The sequence below is a fragment of the Homo sapiens genome, chromosome 15 (genome assembly GCF_000001405.40).
Source record: "Homo sapiens chromosome 15, GRCh38.p14 Primary Assembly".
NCBI classification, from domain to species: Eukaryota; Metazoa; Chordata; class Mammalia; order Primates; family Hominidae; genus Homo; species Homo sapiens.
In genome coordinates, this window is record NC_000015.10 from 74,068,269 (window position 1) to 74,084,488 (window position 16,220).

Consider the following 16,220-nt stretch of genomic DNA (forward strand, 5'->3'; position numbering starts at 1 on the left):
CTGAATGAGGAAGAGAACAAATACTTGGCTGAATGAGGTATTGCAAAGGACCACATGCACTTTGAAGAAAGACTTAAGTTGTTGTCATATGATTTACATGCTATTTAATTTTTCTTAAATATATGACAGAATACCTACACAAAGAGTGGTATTTCAGTTAATATAGTACATTCATTTTCCAGACTGACATTCAGCTTAAATATGCCGGTGTGTGATTTAATCCACAGGTACCTGATGAACACATTATTGTCAGATTGGTTGCAGGTGCTAAAGGCTAGCTGAAGATCATTCCTAGTCATTTATATTTATCAGGGTAAAAGTGAAGTGATTGAACTATAAAAATACCTTTGAAATAATTTATCAATGTATTAGGTAAACCCAGTTTCAGAATTATAAAGAAAAACTGTTAGACCAAATAAGGTGGCTAATTAACAGTGGTATGATTTCTAGCCCGAGGGTCTAAATTGGACTCAAACTGTCTTTAAACTGAACTCAAAGAATGCAAAAGTGGCAAGTTCAGAAAATAAAAGGCAAGAACAGGACTTGAAGTCCATTTTAAACCCTCGGGCTAGAAATCGTCCTACTGTTAATTAGCCACATTCGTTGGTCTAACAGTTTTTCTTTATAATTCTGGAACTGAGTTTATCTAATACATTGATAAATTCATACAATTTGGAAGAGTCAGTTGAAGTCACAAGGACTTAATATTTGCACTCTTTCACTGAATGCAGGCACATCTGTTATTCCATCTGTAAAATCGTATTATTGCTCTCCTATTAATGTCATATGTATAAAAGTATCATGAGGATGCCAAATGCTAAAAATGGAGATGGTCTAGTAACTAGAAATGCCCACCCCAGGGAGCGCACACACATCTCTCCCTGCATCCTAATACTGTGACGTATTTTGGAACACAGACATTAGAACTTCATGAACTTTTAGCTGTTGATTCTTTCCCAAGCATCTTAAAGTTATGATTTAGGCAATGTATGACTGAAATAATTCACTCATCACGTATAGGCACATTAACATAAATATGGCACAAAATATGCCTCTAACTGAAACTGAGAGGTATAAAAACATATTTCACTCTTTGTGAAGAACTTTGTGAGGAAACATAAGTCTGTCATTGTATAGACACTTTTTCTCATAATACTTGGACATTCACAAACATTAGATTGCACTGCAGCTTGTAAACATTTTAAGTTGCATAAACTTCGCCTTGATTTTCATGTGTAGTATAATACTGTCTACTAAAACTCCTTTTTGTTTCAACTAAGTACTCTCACATATATTGGTTTATAATAATGGTTGTTATTATTTTTAAAGTGTTTTCCATTCAAAGAAAAGAAGTAAATTCCTATGTCAGAGTAACTAATGTGGCTGAAGAATAGGTATTAGCCAGAGAGGTCTAGATGATAAAATCAATCTTCTAGCCTCAAAGAAGCTCCATGAACATAGAGGAAGGCCAGGTGTCACACAGCTTTCCTTCACTCGAATTCATTCTTGACTAGAGCCTGTATGCCTCTTCCAGGGACATTTAAACTCTTAAAGGATTTCTTATGATCTTCACTAAATACCTTAAGAAGAATGCCAACCAGTGCCCTTTTGTGTACTGGGACATATACTCGTGATTAAAACAGGTAACATGAACTCTGACTTTAAAATGTATTGTAGATATAAATGCTCTAAGCTAGAAAAGGTTTTCCACATCCACAGTCAATGATGGGAGCCTTTCATTCCTCAGAAATAATCCCTTTTTAGGTCATCAAGAAAGGGTACAACTGCTGCAGCTCATGATGCAATATCTTCATGAGCCCAGAGCACATACAAATCCTAAGGGAACTACCATAGTACAGCGCTCATTCTTGGCACCAGAACAAATGAAACACACTCTATCCTGCACACACCTGCCAGAGCAGGCCACTTTCCTCTTCTGTGAGATTTAAAAAGCTCCCCAAAATGTTATTACTCCCATCCCCAATACACAGAAAATAGGGAAAAGGCTGTTTCCAGTTCTTGGCCTTTAAACAACTCTAAATGTCAGTACTCACAGTGGCATATTACAAAGTAATAAACAGTGCTCAATTGAGGGCAAACCACATATTGAGCTAATGAAGAGCTCACTGTGGTTAGGATTCGATCAAACGTAATAGCAGAACATAAGCACATTTTATCTGAATTCTGGAATGAATATACATGCTGCAATAACATTAAAAAAGCATGGCAGCCTGTTCCAAACCAGCCAGAATAGTTTTGTGCAAATTAGTGGGTCTTTGTGTGTTTGAATTCCCACCACCTAAGGGCAAACTCGATATGCATACTAATGACCTACAATTATCAAATTAAAAATAAAAATGCTAAAGGATGCCAGAAAGAACATCAGGGAAAGACCAACTCTCCCTTAACTTTTTACAAATAAATTTAAACGGTAAATTAGAAACACAAATAAATGTGAGTGGCTCTAGCATTCAAATGGAGTAAATGAATTGTGTAGGAGATGAACCCCGTAACTTTTTGTTGTTGTTGTTGTTTTAAATTTCTTGACCAGCTCTTAGAAGATGATGATGTTTATCTCCCTGTTCTCGGCTGCCTGGTAGAAGAATGGCACGCAGGGTTTGCTGGGCAAGCCTGGGTGCTCCTAGGTGTCCTGCATGACAGGAGACAGCTGCACGATCTGCTGTACAGTGGGGTTGTCATGGGGAGAACCCTCCCTGGCCGCTCCTGGTGCAGGCTCCACGTTGTTGTCCAGGCTCACTTCATAAAAAACTTCGGAGAGAGGGAGGCGGGGGTCTGAGCACAGTGCGAGCCTCCCCTGCCCCTGCCTGCCCACCCCGCCTGAGAGCTCTACTCACCATCCTGCTCACCGGCAGCCCCAAGTTCCTGGGGGGCTGGGGCCCCTGGAGTGGGCTCATCAGCAGGGTTCTGGGCAGCGATGAGGAATTTGCCATGCCCCTCATGGTTGCCCACAAGGGGCAACACCAACTCTTGCAGCTCCAGCAGCTTCACCTGAAGGGAGGGGTGCTCAGCTCCCACCCTGGAGCCTGCACCAGCGCCCATGCCCACCCCCAACCCCGCAGAGATGTTGCACGCCCTACCTTCATCTCCTCCTCCTTCTGGGCCAGCCTGATGACATCCTCCATCTCCTGGTGCCGCGTGTTTGGCACTGCCCCCTGGCTTTCATATACGGTGAAGGACTCTCCTGTGAGAGGACACAGCTCAGACACTAGGGTCCCTCCGACGGCCCTGCAGCTCCCCGTGCCCGTGCCCTGGCCTCCCGCTCACTCATGCCGTCTGTCACTCCAGAAGGCTGGACGAATCCAAGCTCTCGTCTCTCCACCTGCTCCGTCCCGTCCGCCTTCTCCTTCGGGAGGTCCATAAAGCTGCTCTGGAGCCAAAATAATGGGGTCACATCTCGGGAGTGACCTGTTCTGCCCCGCCCCCACTTTTCTTGGCCCATGCCAGGACTCACTCCCTTTCAGCTTCACCATGGCCTCCTTCAGGGCCCGGTAGCTCTCCCCACACACAAACTCACCCCCACTCCCTGGGGCTGGGGCCTCTGCCTCTGGCTCCTTCCAGGCGAAGGCCAACAGATGAGCCAGGTGCAGGCAGCACAGCCTTCACACCTTCCGCTGCCCACATAGCCGTGCCTGCTCCTCCTGGGAACTGGCTCCAGCAGAGGTGAAAAATGCCACTTGAAGGCAAGAGGTGAGTATTCTTGTAGGGGCATAGACAGAACAAATGAGGCAGGGAGGTGGAGAACAACCCCTTCCCTTGGGGCCTCAGAGAGTGCACCTGTTGGTCACAGGTGACAAAGTGTCTGACCACTGGCTCCCGGAAGGGGTGAGGGGCCAGAGCAATCAGAAGGTGGGAAAACCAAGAGCATAAGGGGGTCTGGGAGGGACCACAGAGGAAGGTGGCAAAGCGGGGCAGGGAAAGTCAGGCTCACCGTGGCCTCCCGGCTCTCCAGGTCCTCTGGGATGTTTGGCGTGGGCCGAGGCGCCTCCTCCTCCTCACTGTCCAGATGTTGTCCTCCATCTCCTGTAGGGAGGTGGCCAGAGGGGTCCTCAGACAACCCAACAAGGGAGGTACTGTGGGCCCACCTCTGTCCCCACCCTGACTGTGTAACCCTGAGCCAGCCTCTCCCCAGAGGGGAGTGAGCTGCTGTTCTTTATTTTTCCTTTTAAGAACCAAGATCTTGCTATATTGCCCAGGCACAGTCCCACTACCGGTCGGTGCGGGAGTCCTGACCTGCTCCCTTTCTGATCTGGTCCAGTTCATTCATCCTTAGGCAACCTGGTGGCCCCCTGCTCCCAGGAGGTCACCATATTGATGCTGAACTTAGTGCGGACACCCGGTTGGCATAACGACCAGCTGTTCTAAAGGTCTCTTCCAACCCCTCAATCCTATGCTGCTAACAGTCCCCCCTTCCTCCTGGGGCTCTCTCCTCTTCCTCTGAGTGGTCTCCTGTACCTTCTCCAGGGAGAGCCACGAGGCTTAGCTGGGTCTCTAGCTGTTGGTTCTGGTGGCTGGCAGCTTCTAGGTGCTCCTAAGGGGACGGGAAACAGAGTGAGAAGGCACGGAGGTTGCCAGGTCATCCCCCTCGGGGCCCCGTCCTCAGCAACTCCCTCCCCTGGGTCTCCTGCAACTTTTGTCCGGCCATCTCAGCCACCGCTTTGCCCCAAGCTTCCTGCTGCTGCAGCTGGTCCACGAACTGGGTCTGCAGCAGTAACTGCCTGTGCAGCGCCTCCTTCTCAGAGGTCAGCTGCTGATAGGTGGCCATGTACTGCTGCAGGTGACCCAGGTACTAGTCTCGCTGCTGCTGCAGACTCTGAGACTCTTGGCTCTTCAGCTCCACCTGCAGGAAGACCCTGGGCATGAGGGCACATGGCGGCTGGCTTCCAGATTCTGGGCCCATTAATAGGGTAGCGAGGGCACCGTGGGGCTCTGTCACCTGCCCAGGACCCTGGTCCCTTGCTCCAGGCCTAAGAGGCTTCCTCCCTTGCCTAGAACCCCATACCTCCTTCCCCAGCCTCAAATCTCATGTCCTTCTTCCCACCATTTAAACTGTAGGCCACAGACTGGTGGAAAAGCAGAGGGAGCCAACCACCATCTGCTAAGTGTGCTACATGCCTAATGCTTTCCAGGTATTCTCTCATTCAATCCTCAGCACCTCTGCAAGGAAAATGCTAACTTCCTTTTGAAGTCACAGAAACAGAGACTTAGAGATGAACAGTAGTTGAATGGTGACCAGTGGAACCCAGGCCAGAATCCAGTTTGAATCTAAGGAGGCTTTTTTGTTTTGTTTTGAGACAGTGTCACTCTGTGGCCCAGGCTGGAGTGCAGTGGTGCAATCTCAGCTCACTGCAGCCTCCACCACGTGGGCTCAAGCGATTCTCGTGCCTCAGCCTCCTGAGTAGCTGGGATTACAGGCATGCGCCACCATGCCTGGCTAATTTTTTGTTGTTGTTGTTGTAATTTTAGTAGGGGTGAGGTTTCGCCACGTTGGCCAGGCTGGTCTCAAACTCCTGACCTCAAGTGATTCTCCTGCCTCAGCCTCCCAAAGTGCTGGGATTACAGGTGCGAGCCACCGTGCCTGGATAAGGAGCCTCTTGTACCACTGTCTCTTCCCCTGTGATTGGGGGCTCCATGTCTCTAGCTGGGATGATGATGTCCAGACCTGGGAGGAGCCCAGGGCTACCCACCTCTAAAAGTCAGAGGGCAGGAAGCAAGAAACAGTCATAGAGCTGCACTGGAGGGTGCTGGGGTCACCTGCCTCCCAGCTGGAGCTGCCTTTGGCCTGGCACCTCCCCTCCCCAGAGGCTGGTGCCCGCCTCCCAGCCCTTCTTGGATGGGGTGGAGGTTACCATCTCCTTCACCTCGTCTAGCTTCTCCTGCAGCTCCTTTACTTGCTGCTCCAACTGCAGTGCGCTCTTTTTCTCGTTGTTCTGGACAGAGAGAAGCAATCAGTGGCCATCCACTGCAGCTGGAGACACCAGACCTTGGTGTCTGCCTCCCATATCACCAGGAAGGGTGGAGGCAGGTTAGAAAAATCATCCCTTCTCCCCCACAGCCATCAGAGCAGAGCCCGATGAGCTGTAGCTCACAGGTGCCTTTAGAAGTAGCATTTCATGTGAGGGCTACACTGGCCCATTTTACAGGTGGGGAAACAAAGGCCTGGAGGGATAGGGATGAGGGCAGGCTCCCCAGGTGGGGCAACCCACCAGATCCTCGAAGCTGCACTGTGGCTCGGCCAGCTGCTTGTCGAGCTTGTGGTTCTGGGAGAGCGCGAGCCTCTCCTCCTGCTTTTGTAGCCTCTCCTCCTTCTTCCACAGCCTCTCCTCCTGGTCCCACAGCCTCTTTTCCTGCTTTTGCAGCCTCTCCTCCTCCTTTCGCAGCCTCTCCTCCTGTTTGCGTAGCCTCTGCTCCTGCTTTCGCAGCCTCTCACCCTGCTCCTGTAGCGTCTTCTGCTGCTCCCGAAGCCTCTCGTTTTGTTCACACAGTCTCTCCTGCTCCCGCACTCTCTGCGCCTCCTGCTCTCGGAGCATCTCCTCCTGCTCCTGGAGTCTCTGCTTTTGTTCCTTGCTAAGGAGACTCAAGGCCTGATTGTTTTCCACCTGGGACTGGAGCTTTCCCTCCAGACCTTCCACCTCCTGCCTCAGGTGTTTGGCCTCATCTTGTAGCTGTTCCACCACAGAGGTCACTGCTGGGGGCGCCAGGGATGGGGGCTCAGCTGAGAAATGAAGCAGACAATAAGGGCCTCTGGATTCCCCAACCCCTCTACCCACATCCCCCTCAAAAAAAAAAAAAAAACCTCCTCTTGATGCACAGCTCCTCTCAGGCTTCCCAAACTTGGCCTCACTGCTAATCATTCCTCGCACCCAATGGTAGCCAATTTCCAAGCCACTTTCACATAGAGAGCACTGTGGGTGGCTGACAACGGGCACTCCTCCCTCTTTGCTGATGGGGACCCTGAGGCTCATGGAGATGACAAAACTTGCCGTCTCCTGGCACAGACCTCTTTCCCTCTGCCTCAAAGCCCTTCCACCCACCCACCTCCCTGGGGCATTCTAAGCCACCCCCACAGACCTCTGATGCCAGTCCTGCTCCGAGGTCACACCAGCCCCATCTTACCCATCTGGTTTTTGAGTTCGGACAAGCTCCTCTCCAGCTCCTGTATCCGATGTATGTCACGCTTCTTCTCTTCCTTCAATGTTCGAGCCTGCCCAAAGCACAGGGGAAAGGGCCCTGGAGAGAGGGGCTGGTGGCTGGACAGGCTACCATCTCATTCTCTGTCCCCATCTCCACAAAGCCCAGACCCATGACCACCTCTGGCTGTACTATTCCCATTTTACAGATGCCCAGAAAGATCCAGTGACCTATCTAAAGTGGGGGCTGAAGGGTCAGACCTCACCTCCACCGACATTTTCCACATCCTCTCCTGCCACCGGGCCCTCTCTCCTTTTATGTGTTTAGCATATTCGTCTCGCTCTAGCTGGACTTGTTTTAGTGACTCTGTCACCTGCAAGAAATGGGCACAGAAGTTAGGAAGGGCTGTCACTGGTCCTCACCTGCTCCTGGCCACCTGGGGTCATCTTCCTTCCACATCCCTCCCTCTGCAAAGCCTCACCTGTGTCACGTGTGCGTTCAGCAGCGCCCGCTCCTTTATGGTCTGCTGTAACCACCGCTGGAGGACCGCTTCTCTGCAGCTCGAGGACTGGATGGTGAAGAGTGAGAAGTTTTGATCTGGGGAGCTCAGGCAGTGCCCCTTAAAAGGGCTAGGCTCAATATACAACTCGGTCAGTAAAGGTCAAGGCATTTCCAAGCCCGTGGCCTGGTTATTAAAAGAACTCAGTAAAGTTGGAAGGGAGAGGGAAAGAGATAGAATTTACAGCTGGCTAACAGAGGCCCAGAGAGATCAGATAATATTGCTATTGTTATTACTGTTATTACTACCACTGTTTGAACCGTTATGGAGTGCTTCACCAGGTTCCATGCTAGCAATCCCATTTAATCCTCACAACCACCATATGAGACGGTTACTAGGATTACCTCTATTGTGTAGATGAAAAACATCGAGTGTTCAAGGTTAAGTGCTTGCCTAAGATCACTTAGACAGAGCTGGGATTTGAACACCCAGGTCTATCCTATTCTCTAAGCCCATTTTTCTTGCTGGGGGTGGGGACACAGATAGGAAGGGGGAAATTAATCTTTTGTTCACTTTTTGAAAGGATGATACATTCATATAGTCCAAAACTCAGAAGGTACAGAAGGGAGGTGTCTCCAGGCACCCTGTTACTCTCTCCTGAGTTTTTTATGAATGCTTGCAGACATGTTTTTGTATATTATCATAGTACACACACACACACACACACACACACACACACACACACCCCTTTCCTCTCTCTACAGAAATGGTAACATACTAAAGGTGCTCTTCTGTACCTTCACAGAACAACTACCCAATACCCCACCTAGGACTTGGCCAAGGCCACAGCCAGGAAAGGGCAGGGCAGGCACTTGGCCTCTGAGCTCTGCATCCAGTGCTCACTCCCCACAGTGCCCCCCAACTCACCCACAGCAGCTGACTCAGCCCCAGGCTGCCTCTAACAACCATACACAAAAGTAGTGAGAAATGACCATGCTGCCTTCTGGGCAGGACACTCCATCCTGCAGAAGGGACCTTTAGGCTCACTCCTCTATCTGGGAAGCCAGGCTGCCAGGGGATGGGGCAGCTGGTTGGACTCACCCTGTCCTCTTCCTGCTGCTGTGTAGACACAGCACAGAGAGCCCGCTCCAATTCTTGAATACGCTGTAAGGAGTATTGCAGGCGGCCAGCCAGATCCTTGGACTCTTCTGTAATGAGAGAGGTTGAGATGGGGCCCAAAAGACTCCCCCTAAAGACCTGTCAAAGTGCCAGGTTGAAGGATGACGGGATGCCCAGATTCCCACCTTCGAAGTGTCGGGCAGCACGTTTAGTATGGTAAAGGGTGGTCTTCAAGTCTGCCTTTTCCAATGTGAGGATGTTGATTGTCTGGAATTGAACGTTTGGGAGAAAAGCCAAGGAAATGCTGAAAGAGAAGGAAAGAAACATTCTCCAGAGGACAGGAGAAAGCTCCCCACCCTCCACTCACCTCTAACCGCTCCATTTGTGCTTTGTGTATTTCATTGTTTGTTTTCTTTGCCTGTAGGAAGAGGAAGACAGAGCTCTTATCACAGGGAGGCAGAGATGGCACAGCAAGAGACATGCCCCCAGAATGCCACCAATGCCCCAGGACAGGCCCACCCATGGGACCAGGTTATCAGGGACCCTGTGGGGATGGGGTGGAATCTGATGGGTGAGCCTTCTTCCCCAGGCTGGGAGTGGGCAAGATGAGACTGGCGCCTCTGCATCTGAGTGTCCCCCAAACCCAGCAGTCATGTTGTGAGCAAAGAAATCACGTTACTTCTTCCAGCTGATGTTCCACTTGTTTCTTCTGCTGTTTCTGTGGGGAGAGTCAAATTCAGGTGACTGAGAGTGGCCCCCTCAACTCTATTCCCCAGACCTGGAAGCGGTAGGCAGGGTCCAGGAATGGATTTTAAAGGCAACATTCTCAGAACCAATGGCAACACAAACTGGTCAACCCTCTTCAAGCTCCCAAGGACAGAGGACTTGGGTCTTTGTTGGTTTTTGCCCACAGCCACAGAACTCGAAGTCTGAATCTGGATTCTCTTGAAAGGACAGTAACATAAACCCCTAGAGAGGGAGTCTCAGGAAGGCCCACCCTTCTGCCAGCTTGTGATTTAGAAAGGTGCCTTCATTCAACAAATATTTACTGAACACATACGGGCCAGCTACGGTTCTTCACAGCAGATATAGGATGGAAAAGGACAGACAGGAGCCCTTGGCCCTCAGGTTTCCATTCTAGGGGCCTTTAAATCTCAGGCTCTCAGAGCTAACAGAGAACTCTGATGCTCTACCTCCTCCAGAAACACAAGCCCAAGGAGGACAGGTGGCTTGTCCAGACTCAAAGCAAATTAGGGACTGAGTCAGGGCAGAAATACAGGGCCCCTGACAACCAGTCAGGCTAGCGCTTCCCTGAGAGGTGACAACCTCAGGGCGTGTGTGGCAAGGACTGGAGCAGGGGTGTCTGGAGAAGAGAGAGTCGGCAAAGAGGGCAGTGACAGAAGAGCCATGCTGCGTGCTCCTTGCTCTGGGGTCCCTCCAGGTGAGGCCTGGGTGCTCCAGCTCCCCATTTGCCCTTGGCACCAGGGGCCCCCAGCCCCTTTCTTCAGGGCCCCAAGGGGAAACTAAAGCCCAGGATTGGCAGCATGGAATCAGGGGACCCCACTGGACTTACCAATGATTCTATGTTTTCATTGAGTTGACTGATTGTCACTGAGCTTGACTCCAGGGCTACTGCTAGTTCTTGGTACTGGCTCTGAGGCACATGCAGAGAGGAGGAGTTGGAAGAGGATTGTGGGGAGAGGTAGAGAGAACAATCATTAGGGCTGGGGTGTGTGTGGGCTGTCTCAGCTGGCAGAGGGTCACCCAGCCCCCACTGTGAGAGGAGGTTGGAGGGCTGGCCTGCAAAGTCACTGCACCTCAGCCCAGGGCCTCTTACTTCCAGATCCTTCAGGGTAACAGATGATGCAGGAGTAATAAAAATGAGAAATTAAAAAAAAACTTACATGGGAAATAGTTATGTATATGGAGAAAGTATAAAAACAGCAAGGAGCCGGGCACAGTGGCTCACACATGTAATCCCAGCAGTTCAGGAGGCTGAGACAAGTGGATCACTTGAGGTCAGGAGATCAAGATCAGCCTGGCCGACATGGTGAAACTGCATCTCTACTAAAAATACAAAGAGTAGCCAGGCGTAGTGGCAGGTGCCTGTAATCCCAGCTACTCAGGAGGCTAAGGCAAGAGAATCACTTGAACCCGGGAGGCAGAGGTTGTAGTGAGCCGAGATCGCACCACTCCACTCCAGTCTGAGTGACAGAGTGAGACTCTGTCTCAAAAAAAAAAAAAAAAAAAAAAAAAAAAAAGAGCCCAAATCCCACGTGCCTGCTCTGTACGTTATTCCCAGATTACTTTTAAACTTTTAGGCGTCACCATTTCCAAGATAATAAAAGACGCGGGGAAGGAAAAAACCCAATCAATCAAGCAGGTGAAGAAGCAGACAGAAACAGGCTGAAGGTTAATGGCAGCAACATAAAACAAGGCAGAGGCCAAGCATCCCCCAAGCCAGAGAAGCCTCAGGGCCATGCACAGCTGTAGACAGCAAGCCAGAGAGGGGTCTTGGCACTGCCTCACCTTCCACTTGTCCAATGGGGGAGCACTACCCCATTGGAGTGGTTAAGGTTGGACACCCGCACCTTCAGAATGTCCTGAATCTACAGGAGGTGACAAGGGAAAAACAAGGGCAGGGGGTGAAAGACAGAAGTGGCTTAGAGAGAAGCAAGAAAGTCAGGGTAGGAGGAAGATGTGGGTTCAGGAAAAGGAAACGCTGAAGAAGAGCAGAGGAGATTAAAACCATGGCCTGTGCCATTCTTCCAAATGGCCACCTGCTGCCTTGCCAGGGGCAGGAAAAAATAGATGGAAAAGTCCCCCGAGTGACGCAGTCACAGAGTGGAGTCAGCTGACCAATGCAGATCTTAATACGCTCACTGGACCCCTCTCCTCAGGCCCAGGACATGGGCGATGAATCTGGTAGAGCTCCAGACCTCCACCTCCATTAAAAAAAAACAGACTCCTGAGTAAGAGTTCACTTGAACTAAGGGGACTTCAGCTAAAAAACAAGTTTGAAAGACACTGATCTTATCCAGTATCATCTTACAGAGGAGGAAACTGAGGCCCAGCAGAAGAAGTGATTTTTCTGTGGTCACCCAGCAAGCTGGTGGCAAGTTAGACCTTCTCTTGCTCCTAGTGCCTTGGGCTCTCCTCACCACACCCTGGGCCCCCTTCAGTGACTCCTAGAGGGACAGCCTGATGGCAAGTGGCTGTACTCATTAGCCCAGCTTCCCCTTGCGAGTGGGGATCAGGAAAATCAAACAGCAATGACCATTTCCTGGGTATCCTGGGTGTTTACAGCAGGCCACGTACTGGGGGTTAACATGAAAACAACAACAATAAGGAATCTCATTTAAACTTCACAAATGGAAGTCAAACAATACTACCCCTATTTTACAGATGTGAAAAGAGAGGCCCAAAGAGCTCAAGCAACTTGCCATAAATCAGATCGCTAGCAGATGAAGAAGCAGGATTCAAACCCAGAATTCTTAACCAGTACCCAGCAATCTCAACAATTACCCTCTACTGCCCCTTGGGCCCCCTGTCCCCAGGAGCCTGGCCAGCCAAGACTCACATCCCCAGGTGAGTGGCAACCACCGGAAGTGGTTGTCTCAGGGCTACTGTCAGTTTTTTTCTTTTTTGTCTTTGCTCCTGCTGGAATACCAGGGCTCTTCCTTTGCTGATATTCTTTTAGCTGTGGGAAAGAAGAGCAGTAATACTCATGAGAACTACCAGCCCTTACAGCCACACCCTCCTTACAGTTTTTGCAAAATACTCTTATACACCATCTGATTTAATGCCACCAACAACTGTACAAGGTGTTGTCACAATCACTTAAGTGACTGAGAGGGATGGATATTATGGCTAAAAAAAAAAGTGTGGGGGGGCAATAATGGAACTTAAACTCAGTCTTCTGACTCCAAGCTCTGGGGTTTTGCCATGAATCAGCAGCTGCCGGGGACCAAAACCAGACGCAGAGGTAGAAAAGTAAACATTACATAGGCATGAACTACACGCTGTGTGGTTTAGAGTCATACATCCTCAAATGCCTGTTAGTGTGAAGAAGTGCACCAGTATCTCTCAAACTTTTATATCAATGTGTCCTCATGGCAGAAGGCAGCTTTTTTGTTAAATCTGGGAATTTATCAGAAAGAGGACAACCCAAGTCTCATTTCAGAGAGAAGTCTGGTATACTCTTAGAAACCTATGTGAGGGTCACCCCTAAGTACATTAATGTTTTTTCTCTCTCAAGAGAATCAAGGGAAACTGATGCTTCAGAAAGATCTCCCACATTTATCCTGTGGCACTCAATGTACCCTAAGTTGAGATGATATGAGGAAGATTCAAGCTGTCAAGTTCAGTTTCCCAAGACCTATTCCACAGAAGATGAGCAAATCTCACTTCAGAGACCACTGACTGAAGGGCAGTCTGGTCCCAGAACCGTGGAGAATTAGAATATGAGGTGGAGAACTCGGAAAAAAATGTTAAAGTCTCTCTGGAGAGTAGAAGCCTGGGAGAAAACCAAACCAAACCCATTCTCCCATTACCACCCAGAGATACTGTCAACGTTTTGAGCTCACAGGGGAAGTGTAGGCTTTTCACACTGTCGATGTCTATGTGAAGGGAGTAAGGCAGCCTGAAACCTCTTGCTCCTAGGTCCCATGGTCCCCATTTCCCTTCTAGCTGGAAATTTGTGCTGTGACCAGAGGAACCAGAAATGGGGTGAGAATGCTTAGGGGACTGGGTTATAAGATCAAAGGCCGGTCTTGCAGCAGTAATGACAGTTCCTAGGAGGACTGTGACATCACTACATTCCACTCCTCCTGGGGGTGGGGGAAACCTCATCAGTGCAATGGCTGAGTTGCCGATCCACGATGGGGGAGGGGGGACGTGGGGCTGGGACCCAGGTCCTTGGAGATGCCAGTCCAGAGAGCCCAGGGAGGTCGGGCTTGGGTCAGCAGGAGGGGAGAGCAGAGTCTGCTCAGGGAACCCCAGGAGTCACCAGCCCAAAGTCACCCCGGGATGACTGGCGATGCTGGGGGGTTGGGGCTGGGGGACCCAGGTCCTTGGAGAGGTGAGCCCAAAGAACCCAGGGAGGTTGGGCTTGGGGTGGCAGGACGTGAGGGCTGAATATGGAGCAGGTATCCCCAGTAGTCATCCGCCCAAAGTCACCGCAGGGTGATTGGCGAGGGCAGAGGCTGGGCTGCTTGCTGAAGGGGCGGGGCTGACTGACAAGACGTTGGTGGGGGGAGTCCAGAGGCGCCGGGGTAGGGGGGCCCAGCCCGGTGTGCCTCAGGAGTGGTATGGACTCTGGGAGTGGTCTTGTCATCAGAGGGGATCTCTGGCTAGGTTGGGGGGCCATGACCTTTTTCTTGGCTTTTTACCTTTTTCTTGGCTGCTGCCAATTTATTCTGTCGAGATTCTTCTAACATCATGGGGTGGGGAGGGAGGTAGGGTTGGGGCCACATCAGCGAACACCTCCAGTCACCTACAAGGCTGCTGTGTGACTGAGCCAGAGGAGGCGTAACCAGGGCCACACTAGAATGCAGAATAGGGGTGTGGCCTTAATGCTCCAATCCCATTGGTCAATGAGAAAGATGAAAGGGAAAGGAGGCGTGGCCAGGCAGCAGTGTGCCCAGAGGAACCTGTGACATCACAAGGAAAGCTGCCCATGCGACTGCTGTCCCTGCCCACTTGGGGAGAGGGGCGGGGCCTGCCTACTCCGGGAGAGGGGAGGGCTGGTTTTTGCTTTAAAATGTTAAAAATAAACTTTAAAAAAATATGTATTTATACTTTATATATATGTGTGTCAGTGTGTGTGTGTCTACATGTTCCTCCAGAGCTGTCTTCATTATCCAGCTTCTATGCATGGTCTATGATTTTGGCCTACATTTTTCATCTTCAGAGGGAGTATAAGAATTACCAGTATTACCCCAGTTAAGACACAAATCCTATAAAAATGGAAAATCCATAGCATGTTTGATGATTAATGAATGAAGTGGACTATATTATCCAACATCCCAATAAGGTAAAATAATCACAATGATTTCTCGGCTTTGGAAAAAACATTTCTCTTATTCTCCTACATTATTAAGATTTTTTAAAAAACAAGAAACATGTCTAATATCTTTAAAAACACAAAGCTTTTGGGCCGGGTGTGGTGGCTCACACCTGTAATCCCAGCACTTTGGGAGGCCTAGGTGGGTGGATCACCTTAGGTCAGGAGTTCAAGACCAGCCTGGCCAACATGGTGAAACCCTGTCTCTACTCGAAATACAAAAACTAGCCAGGTGTGGTGGTGGGTACCCGTAATCCCAGCTACTGGGGAGGCTGAGGCAGGAGAATCACTTGAACCCGGGAGGCGGAAGTTGCAGTGAGCCAAGGTCACGCCACTGCACTCCAGCCTGGGTGACAGACTGAGACTCCATCTCAAAAAAATAAAATAAAATAGTCAAAAATAAATAAAAACACAAAGCTTTCCATTTAATAAGCACTCAAAGCTCTTTACTGGTTTAAAGCAAATACAAGGCCTATTTTTCTAGAATCACCTGGCCTCTCTAAGCCTTGCAAATGAAACTGAATTTCTCACTTGATACTTGGCTATGACTTGCAATCATGAAAACCAAGAATTGTGTTATGTCACTGTGTATTGATTGTTACCTGAATTCCACACTAGGCTGGGATCAAGGGTTGAATCTTTCATGATTTGCTCCATAACCTGTGAGCGTCTTTTCCTACACCAAACTAAGCTTTGTTCTAGAGTTCTACAATTTACAGTTAGTAGACAAGAGTGGTTCTCAAAAATGTAGTCTCTGGACTAGCAGCAGCAGCAGAACCTGAGAACCTTTTATAAGTGCAAATTCTCAGGCCCCACCCTGGACATGGTGAATCAGAAACTCTGGAGTAGGGCTCAGCAATCTGTGCTGCAGTCATCCCTCCAGGTGTTCAAGAACCTCTGGCATACAGCAGGCAGAAAAATGTGTTTCCTTCTGTAGGTCCAAAGCCAGGGATACCATATGTTCTGTCTTGATATGAAACAATGGCATGCAATTAAAAGACATAAATCTCCTTCCTGCTCCCACCCTCCATCCAATGTGTTTTATTTTTATGAGTTAAATAAGAAAACAAACGGCAATCAGAGATTCAGCCTAAAAAGTATGTTTACAAGTGTCAGTTCTCATCCAGCCTGATCTCACACAATACCATTTACACCCTCTTCCCTCTCAGGTTTTTTAAAAAGTGTCTTCACAATGTAAGTCTCGGGCACACTAGCAGTTCTATAATAAAACACCAAGTAGATCAGAATGTCCAAACTTACTAGAGAAGAAAAGTGGAATCACTGGCTGTATTTTCAAGTTGCATTCAACAGGAAATGTAAGTTTTTCATTCTTTTCACCTTCACACTTCAATAGCATTAAATCAGAATACTCCATTCTTCCAAAGCCTC

The 16,220-nt window shown here is 49.2% G+C and overlaps 1 protein-coding gene and 1 pseudogene across 1 annotated transcript; both read right to left on the minus strand.

Annotated features, from left to right (window-relative positions):
• Positions 1–1,588: 1,588 nt before the first annotated feature.
• On the minus strand, positions 1,589–14,282 carry GOLGA6A (golgin A6 family member A). The gene is made up of 18 exons (NM_001038640.2): positions 14,158–14,282; positions 12,348–12,467; positions 10,341–10,421; positions 9,447–9,485; positions 9,135–9,185; positions 8,953–9,034; positions 8,750–8,856; positions 7,631–7,717; positions 7,415–7,522; positions 7,135–7,222; positions 6,225–6,733; positions 5,880–5,948; positions 4,474–4,549; positions 3,950–4,041; positions 3,286–3,388; positions 3,099–3,202; positions 2,856–3,009; positions 1,589–2,769 (listed from the first exon to the last, which is right to left on the minus strand). Exons 1-18 carry the CDS (start codon positions 14,239–14,241, stop codon positions 2,642–2,644), a joined length of 2,082 nt encoding a protein of 693 aa, NP_001033729.2. The 5' UTR covers positions 14,242–14,282; the 3' UTR covers positions 1,589–2,641.
• RN7SL429P (RNA, 7SL, cytoplasmic 429, pseudogene) lies at positions 4,186–4,408 on the minus strand (annotated as a pseudogene).
• Positions 14,283–16,220: the final 1,938 nt, after the last annotated feature.